Raw genomic sequence first — 23,079 nt, 5'->3', positions numbered from 1 at the left:
TTTTTTTTCCAATACTAAATCTTCAAAGTCCAGCATGTCCTTTATACTTGTAGACAGGCAGCTTGCCTAGCTGCATGTCAAGTGCTCCATAGCCATAGGTCGCTACTGCGTAGGCTAGTACAGCCATAGAGGGCATTATTGCATGGAAATCTGTGGTCCACGGGAGGACACTTTAACCTTCGAAGTCCCTCTCAAATCGGTGTCTGAATCTGTAAGAGGAACAGCTATGGTCACATCATCCTCTTCTTGAAAACCTTTAGTGGCTTTCTGGTATCTGAAGAAAAATATTATACTCTCTGAGCCTTCTAATTCTGTATCTACTAGATTGTTAGGGCCAAGGACTATGTCATATTCATCTTTTTCTCCAGGATTAAATACAGCATTGGTAATATTGAAAGTACTAAATATCTAATAAATATAGATATATAGATAGTTGTTGTTATATACATTTGTTGTTGTTGTTGAATGGATGACCTGGAATTTACCTTGCCTTCCAGCTATCTCCCTATTCTCTTTTCACAAACCCTATATTATACACAAATGCACTTCACATTCTCTTACCCTCTTTCCAATGGAAATGGCTCTCCTAACATCATTATTCAGAAGGAAGGAAGTGATCTGTCCCTAGATCATCTTTAAACTTTGACATATTAGCCAAAGGTAAATCTCATTTAGAATAGGGACTCCCAAACTGATGAGGTGTTTGATAGCCTTGAGCTTTCTCACTCTGAATGTCTCAGTTTCAATTCTTGCTTACACCTGATCATGTTGACCAAGCCCAGGTCCAGTATAAGAAGACCTCTCACTTGACCTTAAAGCATAAGTTGAGACTGGATGGTCTCTCAAAATATCTTCTCTTGCATTGTGAGGAGGTAAGAACACTTGCTCAAGTAGAAAGGTGAGTTGAATTTCACATCTTGGGGATTTAGATTTTATTTTAACTTCATCTAGACTGTATGACCTTGAATGTGGCCATTAACCACCATAGGCCTCAGTTTCTCTATTCAAATGGATTCTAATGATAATGGATTATAATGATAGCTATTCCAACGACTGATCAAATAAGGAACATGACCAGTTTGTATTATCTTGACAATACATTGCTGTGGTTGAATGCCAGCTCTCCAATCACATTGCTTGGGTTCACATCTTTCTTTTTAGTTGAATGATTGGCTTATAATAAGTTACTAAACCTCTGAGTCTCAGTCACACCACTTTTTAAGTAGGGAATTATAGGTTTGTTGTAAGAATTAACAGAGAATGGCTATAAATGCTTAGACTTTATAAGCGTTATGTTAAACATTTGCTGTGTTTTGTTACTATCAGTGTGGTTGAAAGAACACGTTTTATGTGATTTGTCGCCAGTACTTTTGGACTCTGAGCCTTTCCTTCTTCATTATAAGAGAAAATCTTTACATTCATGTTGTTATTAGAGTTCTCAAGAGGATGACAAAGTGGTATATGTAAAAGAACTTTGTAAAAGATACAGTGCCATAATGCATGCATTTTAATAGAAAGACAAACATCTTTGGAATGGACAAGCTGCACACATGTTTATGAAAGACTGCAAATTCCAGGAAGACAGGTCCTCTCTGTATCTGCTCCGTACTTTATCCCCAGCGCCAAGCACTGTGCCTGGCACATAACCAGTGCTGGTTGAATAAGCATGCAGGATGATTGCCCATTTGTTATTTGGTAGAAAAGATGGAAATTACTCCTAATACAAGGAAAACATTCAGGGTCTCCTGTTATTCTTTTCTCTGAAAGCACAATCACACCATTGGAAGAGTTACCAAAATAGAAAATGAAATCATTTGAGTAAAACGCTTTCTATGTGATTAGAGACCTTTGTTTCAGATGAGCTAACACCTATTAAAACTTTTAGAGGGTACTATTTTAGAAGCCAGGTGGCATTATGCAGTCTGTGTTTGCTTATCTTTTCATTTCCCCCTTTTTTTAGTGTCTAAAACTATTTGCATAATAACAGATTTTTTGTTTTCCTGGAGTTCAGGTTTCTGACTTCGGCAACACATGAATTCAAAATCCTAGAATTGTGATGTCAAAATCATTTGTGTGGCAGTGCCTTGATGACTCTGAGCAGATTTGAGCCCAGTCTGGCTCAGAGACTGTTTTCATGCTAATACTGTTGGTGATTCATCATGTTTTTCATTTTCCTAATGGTAGTTGAGGACCTGGTTCTCTATGGCATTGGCTTTCTGATGCGTGTCTGGAATAAAGAAGGAATGGTTATAAAACAAATCTGTGAGAACAAAGACATAAGAAACTCATGAGGTAGGTTAAAAACAAGCGGGTGCAGGCAGCAGTGTACGTGTACAAGGGGGAATGGGGGACAGTTTCCACTTTTGTCCAAAGGATGTTCACTATTTATGAATAGTTTAAGTTGCTTCTTGCAGGAAGTCAAATTACAAGCAAACCTTTTAGCACTGGCAATGGCTGTAAATGAAATTTCCTCACTAGTCATCTCACTACTTCACTTATCTTGGACATTTCCTCTGCAGCATTCCTGAATGAAGGTCATTGTAATGGTTAACAAAAAAATTGAGTTTTTATAACCACCATGTCTTAGACACTGTACTATGGGTTGGGATACCACAGTGAATAAGAGACACAGTCCCTGTCCTCCTGGAGTCTATTATCTAGTGGGGCAGGTGGGCATTAGCCAAATCATCAAATGAAGAAATACGCAGAGGTTACTGTAGTATTGTGATATGAAGGCAGAATGTAAGGTACAATGGAAAAAAGGAAAGTGTGGTCCTGAATTACATCATGAGATCTAGAAAGGTTTTTCTTTTTCTTATTTTATTTTATTTTATTTTATTTTTTTGAGACGGAGTCTCGCTCTGTCGCCAAAACTGGAGTGCAGTGGTGCGATCTGTGCTCACTGCAAGCTCCACCTCCTGGGTTCACGCCGTTCTCCTGCCTCAGCATCCCGGGTAGCTGGGACTACAGGCGCCCGCCACCACGCCCGGCTAACTTTTTGTATTTTTTAGTAGAGACGGGGTTTCACCGTGTTAGCTAGGATGGTCTCCATCTCCTGATATGGTGATCCGCCCGCCTGGGCCTCCCAAAGTGCTGGGATTTCAGACGTGAGCCACCGCGCCCGGCCTAGAAAGGTTTTTCTAAAAACCCAAGTCTCTTGAAGCCAGACAAAGAGTAGAGGGTGGAACCTTCCATAAAGGCAGATGGTCCTACTAGAAGTACCTGGCATAAGCGTGTGTCACTGACCAGGAAGAGGAAGACCCTCATAGCTGAAAAGCGGACAGAAACTGGGGATCAGAGAATCAAATGTGGCTGCAGAGTTAGGCACAGGCTAGATGGTACAGAGTCTTGCAAATCATGGTTAGGACTTAGGAATTTTATCCTAAATGCAGTGGGGAATCACTGGAGGGGGTTAAGCAAGGGAATGGTCATGTTATAAAGAAAGTTTAGCTGATTGAATGCCACCCATCATTATATTCACCTGGTAGGTTCTCCATCATCTCCCTCCCCCATTGTGTTGTAGAATGAGGATTCTCAGCCCCCGCCCGCCTCCCTCCCCGACTTTTTTTTTTTTTTTTTTTTTTTTTTTTGAGCCAGGCCAGGGTAGTATAATGAACAGAGCTCAGTTCTGGAATCATACAGACTTAAAATCTGCCACATGTCAGCTGGGTGACTTTCGTAAAGTACCTTAAACTTTCTAAGCCTGAGCTTCCCCATTGGTAAAACAGGTTCTTGTAAGGATTTATTACAGCAATGTTTCTAAGGAAACCAGCATATGCAACAGATTCAGCAATGGTAACTGTATGATTAGGTTTGACCTGCAGGCCTAAAGAAATCATCTCACACATCAGCCTCCTGGTGGTATCTGGCATAGGATGATCTATCTATGCCCTTAGAACAGAATTGTAAACTGTCAAAGGTTCTGAGCCCCCCCACCCCCGAAATGCAGGTTGGATCTCTTCTCCAGGCCTCTCCTCCCAGCCAATTTGTATTGCCTTTCTCTCTTCCCACCCCAAGATGGACTTGGAGTCTCCATGTGGGTCTCTTTTATTCTGTTTCTCATATCCTCGAGTGTGGTGTCTTTGTTTTTCCCACATGTTCTTAGTATTCTGTCTGTCCCGCTGCCTCCTTCTTTCCCCTCTTTTCCTTACTCTTCCCTTCCCCTCCATTCTCTCTTAACTTCTACGTGGAGTGAGAATTCTGGACCATGCTGACAGTCATGCTCACCTGTTGCTCATCTGTATACAGAAGAGGTGGAGAGTTGCATTATTCCCACTTCAAATTACTATGTGCAGCTCTTAAATGGCCTGTCTTTTGCTTTGATCCATACCCTATTGAATGATAGCTTCACTGAAACCAAAATAAGTTTATTTTTTTCCAGTTGTTTCACAATACATGATATACACTTGTTTCCTTGAAGAAAATAAATTTTACTCCATAAATGCACAAAGTAGAAGTTACTTGATTCCTCTTCTTTTGAACTTAAGATGGCTATATTAGAGAAATAGTAATATTTTTATTTTTCAAAAAATACTGTTAAATGTTACAGAAGATACAAAAGACATAATTCCTTAAGGAATTTACATTTTAACAGAGATAGACACCACATATATAACCATCAAAATAATCATGTTATTATAATTATGAGAAGTGCTATGAGGAAGCCATAACAGGTGAATCCAGCCCCACAAGAGGTCAGGAAATGTTTAATTTGGGAAGTACTACTTTATGTAAATTAAGAATGAGTATAACATAGCTCAAAGAAATGGCACTTACAATGCCCAAAGTGGGTGAGACTTAAGCCTGTGTTAATAAGAAAGAAGGTGCAGTGGGTTTTAGATTTGAAATGTGGTGATCTAGGAGAAAAGATTAGTGTCATGAAAAGAGGCTGTGGAAGGAGGCTGGACAATGGCTTCATAAGACTTCTTATGTAACATCAGTGCTATCAAGGCTACACTGGTGACTGAGGGCTAACCACCTAAGGGTCTCTAAGGGATACAGTGAATATTAATCTGAGAATTGATTCATTATGGCAGCAAAGCTTCTATAACCCTCTCTGTCAGCCATGGAAGCATAATTAGGAGAGATTGTTGAATGGAGAATGAGAGAGCTTGTGTTCCTAGAGATCTGATATTATTTGAACCCAAGAAAGCAAAAGCCCAAAAGCTGATTGAAAACAATAATAATAATGTGCATTTAAAAAATAAAGGGATAAACTACATGAGCAGCTGGAGAGAAAGTTTAAGTTTCTATGGAAACCTCTCCTAAAATGTCTTCCTCAGGCAGTGGAGCCAACTTCTGAAATGCCAGAGAGAAGTAGAATACGGGCTGAAGAAATCCTCATTGGTCTGTTACACTGAGTGCACCACTGGTAGCTGGAAGGGGAGAACTTTGAAATGAGTCAAGGGTTCCTCACCTGGCATTTCTCTTCAGGTGACTGGGTGAAGGCAGGTGGGGATGTGGGAGTGATACCCAGTACTTTCTTGCAAGGGGCTAAGGCAAGAATGACCCAAATATGAAATCATATTTGAAACAAAAAAGAAAGAAAACAAAATTTTTCTTACTGTTCAGCAACCAGGAAATGGTGTATTTGATGAAATGGTGACTTGATGAAATAGTCATGTACTTGGAACCCTCTTCTGCTTAAAGCCCTATGAGACATGGATCCTGCCTACCTCTCTCATTTTATTTTGTGTAATTCTCTCTCCTCTCTCAGCTCCCTAGCTCTTTCCACTATTCCTCAAAGAAACAGCCTGGGTTTCTCCTTCAGTATTTGAACTTGCCCCTCCTTTGCTCGTGCTGCTTTCCTCACTCAGGTCTGTGTCTTGTTGCTCTTCCTCCCGTGTCAGGCCTTGTGGTCTCACAGGCCCTTCCTTGCCTTTCTAATACAGCTCCCCATCTTTCCCACCACATCCTGTCTCTGTTACATCCTCTGGTTATTTCATGTATACCATCTCCCAAGAGCTGCTTTTAATTTGTATACCTGTTGATAGGCTGCCTCTTCTCAGAGCATAAGCTCTGTGAGAGCAGAGGGAGCCAGGCTTCCTGGGAGCCCCAGGTCTGAGAAAAGTGTCTAGCATAGAGAAGATGCTCAGTAAGTATCGAATGAGATTCTTACTCTCAGGAAGCTTGTGACACAGTAATGATGATTACAGGACACACACACTTGACGCTAGATAACATTAACGCAGCACTGGATGTCAAGGGTTAACCAATCTCCCTGTCATCAGGGAGAAATCTCTACTTAGAGTTTCCTAATAAGAATAACAGGATAAAACTCTATTAGAACCAACAATAACAAGCTGTAGTTATTGGGTAATTTCTTTATGCTAGGCTTTAGTAGGTATTTTACATTCCTTCTCTACCTGTACAACAACCTCTGAAGTAGGCCTTAGGATCTCAATTTTCTGGTTAGGAAACGGAGAGGCTAAGCTTATGAAATTGGACTTTGAACTAAGGTTGTTCTAATTCTTAACTCTAGGTATATATTATTTTGGGGTCTCCTGGCTCTGGGATTAAAAGCGCCTAGGCTATCAGGTGTGGTGTGGTTAGGGTAAGACATGATGGGCGTAAGGTTGGCTGAGTGGGATTGGACAAGATGCCATAAGATCTTTAAATTTCAAAATTAGTTAAAATTTAATAAATATGTTGTATGCATTTCTAGATCTTTGAATCATATTAGCCTACCTTAACTTAAATGTATGTCTGTGGAAGGCTTGGAAATTTGTAGAGTTCATACACAGTCCATCTCCCTTTTCATACACAGGTAGTACCATACCCATTTTTGAAAAGAGGCAACTGTGTCTCAAAGGATAATTCTCTAGCTAAGGCCACATACAGTGCAGATTCTAGAACCCAATACCAAGACTCTTCATATTACATTATTTTCTTCATGTGAATAGTTCTTGGTGTTAACAATAATTATTCATATTGACCTAAATTACTATTCTGTACCTTTCTTTGTTTATAGTTAAAACTTAAGGAGAAAAATCATGATTCTTTTCCATGAAATAGATGCAGATGTCACAATGATTCTTCAAAGCATGAGTAAATTTTGCAAAAAACAAAAATCTTATACTATTTTCTTTCCCCCAATCATTACAGTCTATTGAATTTAATCCTTTTGTCAAAGTATTTTTAGAGGGGGAAAAACACTAATTGTATTATGTTTTCTATAAATGACAGTCAACATAAAAACTTCCCCATTTTATCATAAATTACTGAGTCATTCTTCTCAATGCTTACTTTTATGATATTGGTAAGTCATATAGCCTATGAGCCACCATTCATATTCATGCATTCATTCTCTCTCTCAACCTTCTTCCTCCCTTTCCTCTTCCCAGACCTTTTCCAACATTAACGGTATTAATACCTTTCAGCCTACTTCTGGAATTTATTCTGGAATATTATGTTTTTATTCTGTTTTGCTATTTTTATTAGCCAGGGTATAGCCCTTCAGATGGGGTATGAATTCTCCAGTCTTCTAGAACCCCCAGCCACATCTCATTGTCTCCTTGATACCACGATCCATGATCAACTTCCATTTATCATTGTGTCTGACCTGTTTTTCCTACTGTGAAAATGAAAGACAAAGAAGGCTGCCATGTTTCCAAAAAGTGACAAAGAATACTTATTTGTGGAAGAATATTTGTGTGTTTAAAATTCCAGCAAAGTTTATCTCACTTCCCTCATACCTGGCCTACTTCATTCATTTGCTTTGCTTGCCTACCTCCTGAAAATAGTTGATTTTTTACTCCCGTCCCCCAACACAGTATTTCCACCTTGATCACCATTTTCTTTGGAGTGGATATACATCTAGTCTGCTATATTTAGTCTCCGACCCCTGAAAAAGTGTCCTTTTAACTGCATCATGGCTCATTGCCTCCATATTTCCCTTCTGGGTTGGGGGGTGTCTACTTCAATCTCAAGCTCTGGGGCACTTATTCCACATCATTTCATCCCTGCCTCTCTAAGTAATAGAATGTAGGCCTCTGTCTTTTCTGGAGACTGGCAGAGAAACTTTCTCCCTCCTCTTCTCTCACCTTTGACTCTCTCAGGAATTCTTCCGCATCCATGCAGCTCTCCTGCCTGGCCTCCAGGTCTGCAGATGCCCACTTGTGACTTTCAATACTCTAAATTTTCTAAATCTGTGATTTGTAGGAGTCGAGCAGTGGCTATGAAACGTACTATAACAAAAGTACCTTGGTAGAAAACTTGATCATTTAGAATGCGTCAAGAGAATCTGAAATGCTAGATATATTCCCCAACAATTATTTTCTTTGGGTTTGGAAACTGAATGGTATGTATGTTGTTTCTCCTTTTCTTGACCTTTTTTTTTTTTTTTTTTTTTTTTTTTACCATACCATGCCTAATACTTCTGCAATCAGAAAACAAAACTGATTGAAAAAAATTAAAAGTACTCTGTGTGATCTCATTTGAATGTTATTAACAAAGATTCTAGGTTAGCACATAAGGGGTAGAACATGAAGCAAAGGCAAGACATTTTGATTCCCCTCCTCCCCCTGACCTATACCCTCTTGTTGGACCCTGACTCATTGGCTAGAAGACTGACTTCTTACATTGCTGTTTTGTGTGACGTTCTGGGCTTTTGTACTTTAGATCCAGAATACGTTTCTAGCACTGAAGCAAGAAAATTTAAGTGCCTGTTTTCTTTGCTTTCTGCATTCCCTGGAGGTAGAGTGGAATAGTTCTGCAGCCAGGTAGGTAACATGCCTGAGTGGAGGGGGGGTGGGTAAGACAAGGTGAAGGGACTGGTGTGAGCTGGGTAGCGTAGACTGTGTCTGAAGAGAGCAGTCAGCATGGCTCTCGTAGGTGCCAGCAGGAATGCAGGGCTAGTCCAACCTTGTTTTATGACTTTCAATGTGATAATGTGGGTCAGAAATAAGAGATTCCCTGATTATTTTTACATGTTGCATTCATAAGCAGCAGTGTGTGTGACCCCTGGTACAGTGTGGAAAGGGTTTACTCACTGCCAGCCATATGTCTTCATAAGTCATTTAGTTTTTCTAGGCCTTGTTTCCAACCAGTTGGGAAGGGAAAAAAGAAAAAACAATGGTACTTGCCTGGCAAAGTTAACATGGGGTGGTGTGGAGTCAGAGGGTAATACATTCAAATAAATAACCATTTATTGACTAAATCTGTTGGAGTTAGCTAGATGACTAAAGGAAACTAAGTCAGAGTTCTTAGTTGCAAACAGCAGGAACCAATTCTCACCTTTTATTGGGAAATAAATTAGTAAGAAGACATAAATCTTTAGGAAGGCGGAAGAAGCAGGTGCAGAGACTGCAGCCAGAAGCATCATCTAAGATTGCGCAGTGAGGTTGGTTCAGATGTTACTGTCACTGGGCACCAGATGCCTCAAGTTGTACTGTTGAAAACAGCAATCCTGCACACTACCCCTATAAACACAGTGAATACTTTTGTCACTGTTTGCGGAATGGCCCCACTTTTTCTCATCACTAATGTTTAGTTTAACATTTGGTGCTGATGGTTCTGTTTGGCAGAGCCTGGGTCTCATCCCCACATCCTAGCCAAGAGACAGGCTGAGAAGCAGACCATCTGGCCTTTTAGCCCCTATGGAGGGACACAGGTTGATTTGGTACAGTACAGGATTCCCTAATATAAGGAGATTTAGACATTGAATGCCAAAAGAAAGACTGTCCTCTAGAGTTTCCATCTTCAACAAATTTACTGTCTAATTGAAAATAGATGATGTTTTAAATATGCTATACAATTACAACTCAAAACCATTATATACTACTAGAGTTTGTATTAGTATTAGTAAACTCAGCTCACTACTGAGTTTGCCTAGAAAGATTACCCTGTGGAGAAGCTGTCACCAGATTTTCTCTTGGGACACCCAGTTCCTTCCTGGTGCCCTTTGCTCTGATTTTTCCTTTTGTCTCTGGTTTTTCCTCATATGGAAGTACTGAGAAGACCAGAATGCTGTGATCATCTCTAAGAATAGGAAGCTAAAAATACCCTGGGGGAGAAGTCAGGCTCCCTCCTAGCTGTAGAGAGCCAGACAATCTGCGATCCATCTTCACCATCTACCCTTCATTTCCACACCTTTGTCTTTCCCTGGAGCATTGGGAGTGATGACACTGTTTCAAATGTTTGCAAATTAATGAGTGAGCACTCAGACTCCCCACTGGCTTATGATCTTACTCTTATATTCCATGCTGCCGTGAAAAGTTGGGATTGAACACGAGATGGACTCTAAGCTTCCCTTCTAGCTGCCACAGAAATCTCATGACATCTCAACAGTCCCCTAAAAGATTATGACTTCCTCGAAGGCAGGAATTATGTCTTTATCATTTTTATCCCCAGAGACTAACACCATGTGTGGTGCATTATTGGCAGCCAAATATTTGTAAAATGAATAAAAATGCACTAGCTTTTTTTTTTTCAAAAATCACTTGCAAGTGAAAGAAACTCAACCAAACTACGTGAAGCTAAAGGAGGCCTTAAGTGGAACACATAACTGAAATCTCAGGGTGCTTTCTGGCCCAGGTGGGCCCAGGAGGTCTCTGGTCTCTCCCCATTTGCTGAGTCTTCTCTACAGAATTGTACTTTCTCATACATGCTTTTCCTGAATTTCCTAACAACTCCAAGCTTAGCAACTCCAGGCAAAAAAGTATTTTATCCCCAGTACTTTCAGAAAATAACTAAGACTTAATGTAATTGAAAAGCTGGAACTGCAGACTGACCCTGCCAATGAGGCTATTGGGATGGGCTAAGGATGGGCTTGGTCTGCACCATAGCATCACCCTTGGAGTCTGGGTGGAATTGATTTCCTAAAGTGAAGGTGAAGTATTATTACCAGTAGGCAGGAGAATAGATGCTGGGTATGTTGGGTTGGATGGTAGTGCCTCAAAAGATGTGTCTACTCAAACCTGTGAATATGGCTTTATTTAGAAAAGGGGCCCCTGAAGATGTAATTAAGCTAAGGACTTCAGAATGAGATGAAATTTAGGGTGGGCCCTGAATCCAATGAAAGGGTGTCCTTAGAAGGGGAGAAGACACACAAGACCATGTGAAGAAGGAAGCACAGATTGGAGTGATGCATCTATATGCCACAGAATGCAAAGGGTTGCTGGCAACCACCAGAAGCTAGGAGAGAGGCATGGAACAGATCCTCCTTCAGAGACTCCAGAAGGAAGCAACCCAACCCTGCTGATGTCTTGATTTTTTTTTTTTTTAAAGATGCCTGGCTCCAAAACTGTGAGATAATACTTTTTTTGTGGTTTTAAGCTACCAACTTATAATTTGTCCTGGCAGTCCCGGAAAACAAATATACTGGGGAAGTAAAACAGCTGAGGTTTACTGCAATAACCATGTGTGGGTTACTCTGGTCTGGAGTGTTACTCTATTTGTCACATAATTGCTAAGAGAGCAAGCTGGGGTTTGCACTTACTTTTAGCTTGCCTCTACTTTGCTCTTAAGCCAGTCCATCAGGAATTCAGCTGTGCTGTCAGCCTTTTTGGATACACCTTCTTTAACATACAGTATTGGATTTATGCTACCCATTTCATCAATGCTAAAAAAAAAAAAAAAAAAAAAAGGTTGGTGGTGGGGCACAGGACTGAGACGTCTGTGTAGCAGCAGCCACATGGCTCACCGCTGCCAGGATGAGGTTACTCTTTCCTCTGCACCATGATGTTTCTCAACTATCCATGGCTCCCACAGTAAAGAAACAACTTCGCCTCAGGATAACCTGGACTGCAGTTGCTATTACGTGGTTAAAGAGTTCCTGTGCTATTTCTCCAATGCCTGGCACTATGACAGCTGGACTTTTTATTTTTATTTTTAATTAAGAGAGAAACTCAGAATGCTACTAGCTGTTGTGTGAATGTTTTGCAGGGTGTTGGGGGTTGGTGTGGGGGTTGCATTTTTTTTTTTTTTGAGTTTTTTCCTTTTCCTAAGAATAGGAAGCATCTAATCCCTGTGCTGATTCTTACAAGTGTGTTATTTTTCCAGCTCATTAGCTGCATTTGTTTCCTTCTCCCAGGCCACAAGCAACCCTGATGGTGGGGCGGATGCTGGCACAACTTGTCAGAGGCTGGCAGCTGGTGTGCAGACCAAAGCCTAGTGAACCTGGGGCCTAAATGTCAACGTGTGGCTATCAGGACAGGAATAAAGGCATTGATGTAACACTGGTTTTTGTTTTGTGTGTGTGTTTTTCTGAAGGGCAAGGTGGATATACTAAAAAATGAATTTTAAAAACATTAAGCCCTAATCCCACCTTCAGAACAAGTGGCTTTTCAAAATAACTAAAAGGGTAGAACTGGAATGTTTCTAACACAAAGAAATGATAAATGCTTGAGGCGATAGACATCCCAAATACCCTGATTTGATCATGACAATATTGTATGTTTGTATCAATATTTCACATGTACTCCATAAATATATGCAACTATTATGTATCCATAATAATTAAAGATAAATCAATATTTTAAAGTTCCTCATTTGTTTTAGATCCTTCGTTTAAAAAAACTGAGAAAAAAGGAGTTGCTTTTTTTCCCTCCTGGCTAGTGTAAAAACTAACACACATTTACCTTTCAATTAAAATCTCAAGACCCTTTGCATGTGGTACATGCACCAAATGCATACATTAGAACTGAATTATGGAAAAACACAAGAGAATGACATTGATTTATGCACTTCCATTAGATAGAGTGTTAGTTAACAATTCAAAACAAACAGATACCTTAAGTCTGTCAAGAAAAGAGCATTTTAGTTGAAGAGCAAAGACAAATAAAACTGCATTTTTAAAGCATAACTGCATTACGTTGACTTGGAGTATGGGTGTTGAGTAAGAGTACAAGCCAAAACAGTGGTCACGTTAGTCTGGTGCTGCCCATATCACCCCAGCCCTTCAGCTTTCCATAGCTGTGACAAGGCCAAATTCTTTAAAAGACTTTATGTGTGATTCCTACCCTTCTTCCTTCTTCCTTCTCTCCATTCTCTACTTTTGTCTTTCTTTTCCTTTCTACTCTTACCTTCTATAAAAGTGACCTTTTAGAAAATATTGAGTTACTTTTACAAGTCAGAAAACCTGAATAAAAAGCAAATATTACTTTGGGGGACCGGGGCGGGGGGAAGATGAATTTGCAAGTTTGAATTAACTTTTGGGTTTTTATGTCTTTCGTGTTTTCTGTTTTAAAGCAGCATTTTCTTTTAAGTGCTGTACTATCTTGAACTAGCTGCTTATGAAGCACTTCTTAGTAGAACTCGGTGTGGCTTTGATTTAATGAAGACATTAAGTCCTTTTTAATAACAACTTCTTTTCAGCCACAGGTGCTAACACTCTGACTCATTAATGGTAGAAGCTCCTGAATGAGATTATTTGGAAGACATGAGGCAGGTGGCTGAGTGACCTCGGAAGTCACTGAACCTATCTAGGCCCCTTTTACTTTCTGCAAAATAGGGTGCTGCACCATATGAGGTCTCTTAGGGCTCAGAAATTCTACAGTTCTATGACTTGAGTTATTCTAATGGTTATTAGTAATAAAAATAATAGCTCCAATTTACTAAACACTAGCTAGAAATTGTGCTAAGTATCTGGCAGTTCCTATTCAATCTAATCATCATACCATGCCTAGTAATTAAGAAAGTACTCTTATAATCCCCGTTTTACACATGAGAAGACTGAGGCTTAAGGAAGTTAACCAGCAGGTCATTCTTCCTTAAGTTCGTGTTCTTTGCAGCTGCACTATATTGTAAGTTTCATTCTAGCTTATGTTCAACTTATCAAATGGGATTTAAATTAATGAGATTTTACTGAACTCGGGAACATTTCTCTTTTAATGTCTTCCCATCCATCCTGCTAATTAGTCTTATAATTTTAGGCTCAGAGGATTTCATCCTGCTTGACTTAGAGGGATGAGAGATGGTGAAAAGGGCACAGCATCTGAAATGCTTATTTTGACCTTTCCCATCAGGATCTTTACTCATAAATTCCTCTACATTAGACAGGAAGGAACATCAATCCTGTTAGACTCTGTGACTCACAGGATTGTTCTCTTGTTGCAAATCCTAACATGCATGGATCCAATTCTTCCAATACACTTGTTAATGACTACATAAACTGACATCCTATTTTTGTCTCTTGATCAGGACTCCTAAGCAACTGCGCTTCTGGGCGTATATACTTAACGTACTTTTCTTTCTTGTGAAATAAAGGGAAGGATGCATTATCGGTGCAGGTGATCCATTTACTTATTTTTTCAGGAGAAAAAAATATCCTGCAGGTTGCCCTATTTAGATAGCAACATAGGTATTCAGCCTTCCCATGCTCTCTGTTGCTACTTGCTTTCTTTCTCTTACTCTCTCAGCATTTCTCTCTCCTCCTTGGGTTCCCTCCCACTCATGTTTTAAGTGTTGGCATCCTCTGCTAACATTCTAGAGAGAGGCTTTTTATTTTTTATTCCTGTGGCCTCTAGAGAAATGTGCTGCCATGGAAGGGGTGCCAGAACTTTAGCCAGGTTTATTAAGGGCAATCAGGAGCCTCCTGGAGGCTTTATGCAAAGCAGTAGGTGTTGCCTTTCAGGTTTCTTTGCTACACTGGGTTCCTTGGGGTATTTTTTCAAAGAGTCCATATGATGTGTTATTTGGATTTTTTTTTTTTAACAAAAAAAGGAAGGAAGGAAGAAAGAGTCCACACATTATCCTGGAGCATGAATTAAGCAGGACATATTTCAGTTGCCTTCAATGCTACCCAGGCTTATACCCATGATATTTTCCTTTACCCTTTTGTGAAGCCTTATTGCATGGAAGAAAAGTTGGCATTGACTCTTTTTCACTATTTTCTCATAATCTGTTCATTTGTGCATCCCCTGAGCCACTTCAAAAGCACCTTGGATTCTATAGCACAGAGGACAGCAATTAAAAAGCAAAAACAAGGACATTTATTGAGTGTCCTTAGATGCCAGACACTGTAGCCAAGTGTTACATATGCATCATTTCCTTTAATCCTAACAGTAAGTCTAACAGGTGGTACTAATAATATTCCCATTTTACCTATAGGAGGAGGGTAAAAGACAGAATTACTTTGCCCAAGGTCATACAGGTAGTAAGTGGAAGAGATGGCTAAATATAGGTCTCTGTGACTTCACAGTCAAACCTGCACCAATTTGAAGCAAATTGATCTCTTCATTAGACTTCCTGTAGAAATTAATTGGACTTCTGGTAAGTAGATACAACACTGGTTGGAGCATTATCTCCTTCCTCAAGAGGAGTAAGCGTTTTGATGCAGCTTAGGGAAATTGGTGTATCATGTACTTTTGAACACTTTGGCAATGTCAGTGAAGATGAAATGCACATACCCTGCAACCTGGCAATTGCATGGCTTAGTATTTATTCTAGAAAAACTAGCACACTGTACATGAGGAGATATGTCCAAGAATGTCTATTGCATTGTTGTCACCATGGTGAAAACTGGAAGCAATTTAAGTGTCCATCAATCAGTGAACGGATTAATGAATTGTGGTACCTTCATGTATATAATCATATATAATGTTTGTAAGTGAACTAGGTCTGCATGAGTCAACACAGGTAAGACCCAAATGTTGTATTGAAAAAGCAAGTGGTAAAAAGATGCAGCCCTTATGAAACATTTTAAAGTACAAAAAATATTACATTAAATGTCTATTATATATGCCTACACACATAAATAGTAAGCATAAGAACATGGGTAGGAGGAATACACACCTACTTCAGGGTTTGTTTTCTCCAGGGAGGGAAAGAATGGGATGGGGAATGGTGGTGGTAGAGAGGGGCATTTCACTGTCTTTGTAACACACTTTTTTTCTAGTAAAAATTCTGAAAAAAAAAAAAAAAAAAAAAAAAAAAAGGGAAAATGTTAGATTGTTAAGTCCAGGTAATGGACACACGAATATTTCTTACCAGTCTCATTCTCTTTACTTTTCTCTGTGTTAATGTTAGTTTATAACTATTTTTCAGTTAAAGGAAAAGTAAGAAAAAGCATCTGAAGGGTTTTTCAAAGCTGAGGTGTATGCTTGTTTGTAATTTCCCCAGACCCCCCAGTGTTTCAAGGCATCTTCCAACAGGCTCCTAAGTACTTCATGTGGGTGCTAAATGTAAGGGGCAGGTAGCTGAGTCTTCTCACCCTTCCAGATAATTTTCCAGCCACTTGTTCACTTCAGCGCCAGCCTGGATGGCTCCCCACAGTGAACCTGCTAATGTTTTCCTCATCTAACTTTAAGAGGCAAAGGTTGTTATCACTCCTGAGGGGCAGAAAAGTCAACCACCAGTTCATTTCTCTTGATGTCTAGGCTAAATGGTGTTGCTCTTCTGCCAACTCTAAAGTGCTTGGGTGATCCTAAGAGAAATGTGCCATTACCATGCAGAATCAGGGAGAGCATTTTGTGGTTCTGTCCACTAAACCCCTGAAGTTCTCACTGACCCTCTGTCATAGAGCCTCCCAAGCAGTGTGACTCCCTGCTTCCTGGGCTTCGCACCTACCAGGGACTGTCCTCCAAACAGCGCTTTCTCTTGTACTTACACTAGTATGTCTCATGCCCATTCCAGGCAGGCCTTCATGTATTCTTAGCAATCTCCCTCATTTTGCATTTTTCTCCTCTCCTCTACCCTTTCTCCTCTCCCTCCTCTGCCCCCTCTTTTTCTGTTTCCCTCTTCTTTTTACCCTTGTCATCTCTGCCACCTTTTCTTCCCCCTCTTCTCCCTCCAGACGCCTGAGAGAAGGTCCCCAGTAGCCTTCCCAACCTCTAGATTTCCACTGATAAGAATTCAGAAAATCCTCCTCAATGAAGCACTGTAATCTTTCTGTTCTTTCCAGTTAAAAACGTTCTGAATGATACAGAAGCTTTGGCCTAGGTACTAAAAATCATGCATTTGGGGCTCTATTCAGACTTTAATAAATTCTATGACCTTGGACAAGTCAAATGAGGTGATCAAGTAGAGATAAATACTCCTTGTCTCCTTGCCAGGTGTTATGAGGATCTGAGATGGTGTTTGTAAAACAGCTGGGATAAACGGGGAGGATGATAAAAATGTCAGGTGCTGCTGCCATGGCTTCATTGTCAGGTTGACATAGGGTAATGACGGGGAGTGGGAACATTCATTGCGAACAGGGCTGAGGATGATTCATGTCAACATCTCTTGTTCTTTCGCAATAGTTGCCCTCTTCCCAGGGAAAGTACACTGGTGAAGAATCCTAAGAGTGGATCTTTGAGCTATGTATATATTAGAGCAACATTTCTTTCTTTTCTTTGACATAAACAAGGAAGAATTTCATTTATTCATGGTATATGAAGATTTTAGATCAGTGCAAGGAAAACATGTCTTCTTAATAAGTCTTTAAGTGATTCCTTTTTGCTCGTTTCCAATTCACTAAGACTTATTCAAGCAATAATCTTTACAACAGGGAGAAAAATGAGGCAATAAATGTGTAATGCAATTGATTAAGTGAAAAAAGCTGGGCCATGTGTGGAGCGTGAAGCACAGAGTTGGAGAGGGTAGGATGATTACTTAAGAAGCTGAGGTATTTTTCTTCGCTGTTCACCAGGCCCCACTGTGGATTCGAGTGGGAAAAACCAGCGTCTGCAGTTCTGATAGCTCTGCTCTGCAGCAGATGGTCTCCCAGGAAACCCTGTTATGGAGACGTAACAGGCTTTGGGTTCAGCAAACCATGTCTCTTGTTGGCTTTATTACAATGCAGGCTTTTGGGAAGTCCCATGGGCTGAGATTGAAGAGTTATGGGTTATATTCACAGGTCCGGAACTATTGCATTGTGTGAGTTGGTCTTTGCCTCTCTGGGTCTTGAATCCTCAATTTGAAAAACAGCTAGCTTGTAGAAGAGAGTCCTTTTTATAAAATTGAGGAAAATTGTGGCATGATACCTCAATGCTCGCACTGCCTATTTTTATGTTTACCTTGATTAGTAACGTACTGCTGTTAGTACTTCTATGGGCTCCCTCCCCAATCCTTAATCAAGGGAGATTTGGGGCTACTCTGTCAGAAGGGAGGACTGGAAAAACTGGCATGGTGGCATGTTACCAGACAAGGTTGAAACTGCCTCTATGAGAAGGTAAATATAGTCTGACAGAGACGAACCCCAGTTGGTAGTAATATCCAGCTGCTTGGGTGAATCAGTTTCTGAACGTGAGTGTTACCAGAAAGGGGTCCAGATCCAGACCCCAAGAGAGGACTCTTGGATCTCGCACAAGAAAGAATTCAGGGCTGCATAGTATTCCATGGTGTATATGTGCCACATTTTCTTAATCCAGTCTATCATTGATGGACATTTGGGTTGGTTCCAAGTCTTTGCTATTGTGAATAGTGCCTCAATAAACATACCTGTGCATGTGTCTTTATAGGGACCTGAATGAAGCTGGAAACCATCATTCTCAGCAAACTGTCATAAGGACAGAAAACCAAACAGTGTATGTTCTCACTCATAGGTGGGAATTGAACAATGAGATCACTTGGACACAGGGCGGGGAACAAACCCCCACACACCGGGGCCTGTCAGGGGGTGGAGGGCTGCGGGTGGGATAGCATTAGGAGAAGTACCTAATGTAAATGATGAGTCGATGGATGCAGCAAACCAACATGGCACATGTATACCTATGTATCAAACCTGTACATTGTGCACATGTACCCTAGAAATTAAAGTATAATAATTAAAAAAAAAGAGAATTCAGGGCAAGTCCATAGAGTAAAGTGAAAGCAAGTTTACTAAGAAAGTAAGGGAACAAAAGAATGTCTACTCCATAGGCAGAGCAGCCCTTAGGCTGCTGGTTACCTATTTTTATAATTATTTCTTGATTATATGCTAAACAAGGGGTGGATTATTCATGAGTTGTCCAGGAAAGGGGTAGGCAATTCCCAGAACTGAGGGTTCCTCCCCTTTTTAGACCATATAGGGTAACTTCCTGACATTGCCGTGGCATTTGTAAACTGTCATGGCGCCGGTGGGAGTGTTTTTTAGCATGCTCGTGCATTTTAGTTAGTGTATAATGAGCAATGAGGACGATCAGATGTCAACTTTTGTTACCATCTTGGTTTTGGCTGGCTTCTTTACCACAGCTTGTTTTATCAGCAAGGCATTTATGATCTGTATCTTGTGACAACTTCCTATCTCATCCTGTGACTTAAAACACCTAACCTCCTTGGAATGCAGCCTGGTAGGTCTCAGCCTTATTTTACCCAGCCCCTATTCAAGGTGGAGTTGCTCTGGTTCCAATGCCTCTGACATGAGCATTAGAGATTGAGAGAAATATGACATTTTTCAGAAGCTTTCTGTGAGTTACATCATAGAACTTCTTTTATAGTCCTTATGAGATTCAAGTTAATATTGGATTACTTCTTTGCTTGCTGAAACATACATCTTTAAATGCAATTCTGATCTTAGAGGGTCACATTAGGCCCTGGGATTTATGCAAGTCACACATAATAAGGTTTCCGTAAGAGAAGTCTGCTATTAACCTGAATCCTTCTAAATTTAAAGTGTTTTCATTGTATAGTGTTGTTTCCTTTATTTTTCTATTATGTAACTAGGTGTCTAGAAATTCAACTGTAGCACCTTAGAGGGAAATGGAATTGAGGGAAGGGAATATTAGGGATGAAGCTTACCCCAAACTTGAAAAAGAGAATTATTGGGCCAATATATTGAGATTACACAGAGCCAATTAAGAGCAAGATAGGTTTATGGCAATGAAGCCTCAAAGTTCGTGATCTGAATACTAACCAATGTGCTTCCTGAGAAAAAATCCACAAGACGGCAAGTCCCAGTTCTATCATGGAACCTTTAGCAGTTTGGAGCTATCTCAAGTAGGAGTTGAGATGACGTGAGTCCTAACAATAATTATCTATTATGAGGCTTGACAATGAAGGAAGAATTTACACAGTGGATTATCTCAGGTGGTCTTTGCATGAAGCCTGATAAAGTAGGTATTGCTATACCTCATTTGTGGTTAAAAATTTTGAGACTCGTGTAGTTTAAATGTTTCTGAGAAAAAACACATTGTGGTAATTTGGATCTCAGAATTCCTGTCTCCTAGGAAGTGTTTCTACAATGATTTCTCAGGATATGTATTCCATTTTCTCACAAATCTTGAAAATGGCCTATGTGCCAGGCACTCTGTTAGGGAAACAAAAATGAATGGCAGTTAATGTAGTAACTAAATGATCAGTTTAGTGATGCTGACAGCCATATAAAGAAATCATTTCTATCCAATGTAGCCCATGTAATAAACGAGATAGGGCCAAGGTTGGGGAGGATCCACAGGTTAAAGGAAAGCATCAGAAAAGGAGAGATGCTTGAGCAGAATTTTGAGAAATCAGTAGCAGTTGTCTAGGTGGACAGAATTTCTATGAAAAAGAAAATCTAATACTGTGTTGCTGCCTTCAAAATACCTCTTTATGCAGATTTTCCATAGCCACTATCACTACCTTTTGGTAGTATAAACATCATAACTAGAATAGGAGTGTGGTATGTGTGAAAACTGAATCCTCATTTAGTTCTTTCATCAGTTTGTTATGTTTTCCATTTAAATGTTCTATTGACTTGCTCTATCAACATCAAAAAGAAAACAGTCTTTGCCTCTCTTGTGTCCTTGAGTAATTTGCTTGCTGCCTACAGACTGGCGTCAAAATAGCCTTCAACTTGGGTTGTCTGGTCTGCATTATCTCCAGAATCTGAGGCAGGCAGCACAATCAACTTTTCTATTTATTTCCTTACTTATTTTCAAAAGAGGTTATGATAGTTATTTTCAAAATAAATATGGAGAAGTTAACTTGGATATCATGCAAACACAAAGTTTAGCTTCATGATTTTTTTTCTACATTAACTGTTTCTTGGAAATGAGAAGAAAGGATAATCTGGAGATGAGAAAGGGTTGAACATCCCTTTATCAATGCTGTCATTTGGTGAACTGTATGCATCCTGAATGAAAACAGATGGTCACAGCATCTTGTATTAAAAGAGAGATGTTCAATACAGGAAATTAACATTAATGCCTTAGAATGCTAACCTCTCATTGCTCCAATTCCTAGTCTATGTAAGATAATTCCAGGATTGATGCTTGCCTGTCTCTTCTGCCTCAGTTTCTTTCCCTTGAGAAGAGGAGGTCAAGTATCACAGGAACACTGAGGTTTGTCACACCCTCTGAGGTCTTGGGAAACAAGGTACCCTGTGAGATCAAGGTATTATTAGAAGGTAGAGTTCTCACAAAGAAAGTACATTCTCACTTGCTTCATCTGCACTCTGAGGTGAAGAACAACAGAAAAACCCCTGCTAACCCAGCATAACCCAAAACAGGCTTCCCCAACCCCCAACAGTTCTTTCTTGCTCTGCCTTCCCTCTAGGCCTCCATTCCCATCCTCTTTTTCCCTTACCCTGTCCTCATGTCCCTCCCTGCTCATGGGGACCTCTGACTTGACTTTGTCAATGTTTTACCTGCTCAGAATCTATTTCCTGGATGAAAACCACTCCTATCTCCACTCTCAAGGCTTGTATTTCAGATAAGGGAAAACCTACAGGGTCCACTTTAACACATGGCACAAACTGCCTGGTGTGTCTTTAGCCTCTTCTCAGGGAAGCTGACTTTTCAGAATGGCTGAATAAAAAATAAGGGCAGCACCAAAGGCTGATGGGGATATGTGTAATCTGGATCACTCATACATTGCTCATGGGAATTTAAAATGACACAGTTGGGAGCCAAGATGGCCGAATAGGAACAGCTCCGGTCTACAGCTCCCAGCGTGAGCGACGCAGAAGACGGGTGATTTCTGCATTTCCATCTGAGGTACCGGGTTCATCTCACTAGGGAGTGCCAGACAGTGGGCGCAGGCCAGTGTGTGTGCACACCGTGCGCGAGCCGAAGCAGGGCGAGGCATTGCCTCCCCTGGGAAGCGCAAGGGGTCAGGGAGTTCCCTTTCCGAGTCAAAGAAAGGGGTGACGGACGCACCTGGAAAATCGGGTCACTCCCACCCGAATATTGCGCTTTTCAGACCGGCTTAAGAAACGGCGCACCACGAGACTATATCCCACACCTGGCTCAGAGGGTCCTACGCCCACGGAATCGCGCTGATTGCTAGCACAGCAGTCTGAGATCAAACTGCCAGGCCGCAACGAGGCTGGGGGAGGGGCGCCCGCCATTGCCCAGGCTTGCTTAGGTAAACAAAGCAGCCTGGAAGCTCGAACTGGGTGGAGCCCACCACAGATCAAGGAGGCCTGCCTGCCTCTGTAGGCTCCACCTCTGGGGGCAGGGCACAGACAAACAAAAAGACAGCAGTAACCTCTGCAGACTTAAGTGTCCCTGTCTGACAGCTTTGAAGAGAGCAGTGGTTCTCCCAGCACGCAGCTGGAGATCTGAGAACGGGCAGACTGCCTCCTCAAGTGGGTCCCTGACCCCTGACCCCCGAGCAGCCTAACTGGGAGGCACCCCCCAGCAGGGGCACACTGACACCTCACACGGCCCAGTACTCCAACAGACCTGCAGCTGAGGGTCCTGTCTGTTAGAAGGAAAACTAACAACCAGAAAGGACATCTACACCGAAAACCCATCTGTACATCACCATCATCAAAGACCAAAAGTAGATAAAACCACAAAGATGGGGAAAAAACAGAACAGAAAAACTGGAAACTCTAAAACGCAGAGTGCCTCTCCTCCTCCAAAGGAACGCAGTTCCTCATCAGCAACAGAACAAAGCTGGATGGAGAATGATTTTGACGAGCTGAGAGAAGAAGGCTTCAGACAATCAAATTACTCTGAGCTACGGGAGGACATTCAAACCAAAGGCAAAGAAGTTGAAAACTTTGAAAAAAATTTAGAAGAATGTATAACTAGAATAACCAATACAGAGAAGTGCTTAAAGGAGCTGATGGAGCTGAAAACCAAGGCTCGAGAACTACGTGAAGAATGCAGAAGCCTCAGGAGCCGATGCGACCAACTGGAAGAAAGGGTATCAGCAATGGAAGATGAAATGAATGAAATGAAGCGAGAAGGGAAGTTTAGAGAAAAAAGAATAAAAAGAAATGAGCAAAGCCTCCAAGAAATATGGGACTATGTG

General features: G+C 40.8%; 1 annotated feature.

The window, feature by feature from the left end:
- Positions 22,005–22,545: an enhancer, noted in NCBI's record as "H3K27ac-H3K4me1 hESC enhancer chr5:152455744-152456284 (GRCh37/hg19 assembly coordinates)". NCBI's record gives its function as "activates a minimal SCP1, AML or CMV promoter by ChIP-STARR-seq in primed H9 embryonic stem cells {active_cell/tissue: H9 hESC(primed)}" and the evidence as "EXISTENCE:reporter gene assay evidence [ECO:0000049][PMID:30033119]".

Source organism: Homo sapiens, chromosome 5, assembly GCF_000001405.40.
Source record: "Homo sapiens chromosome 5, GRCh38.p14 Primary Assembly".
Lineage (NCBI taxonomy): Eukaryota > Metazoa > Chordata > Mammalia > Primates > Hominidae > Homo > Homo sapiens.
The sequence above is the reverse complement of the archived record's forward strand: the minus strand, read 5'-3'. Positions and strand labels throughout refer to the sequence as shown.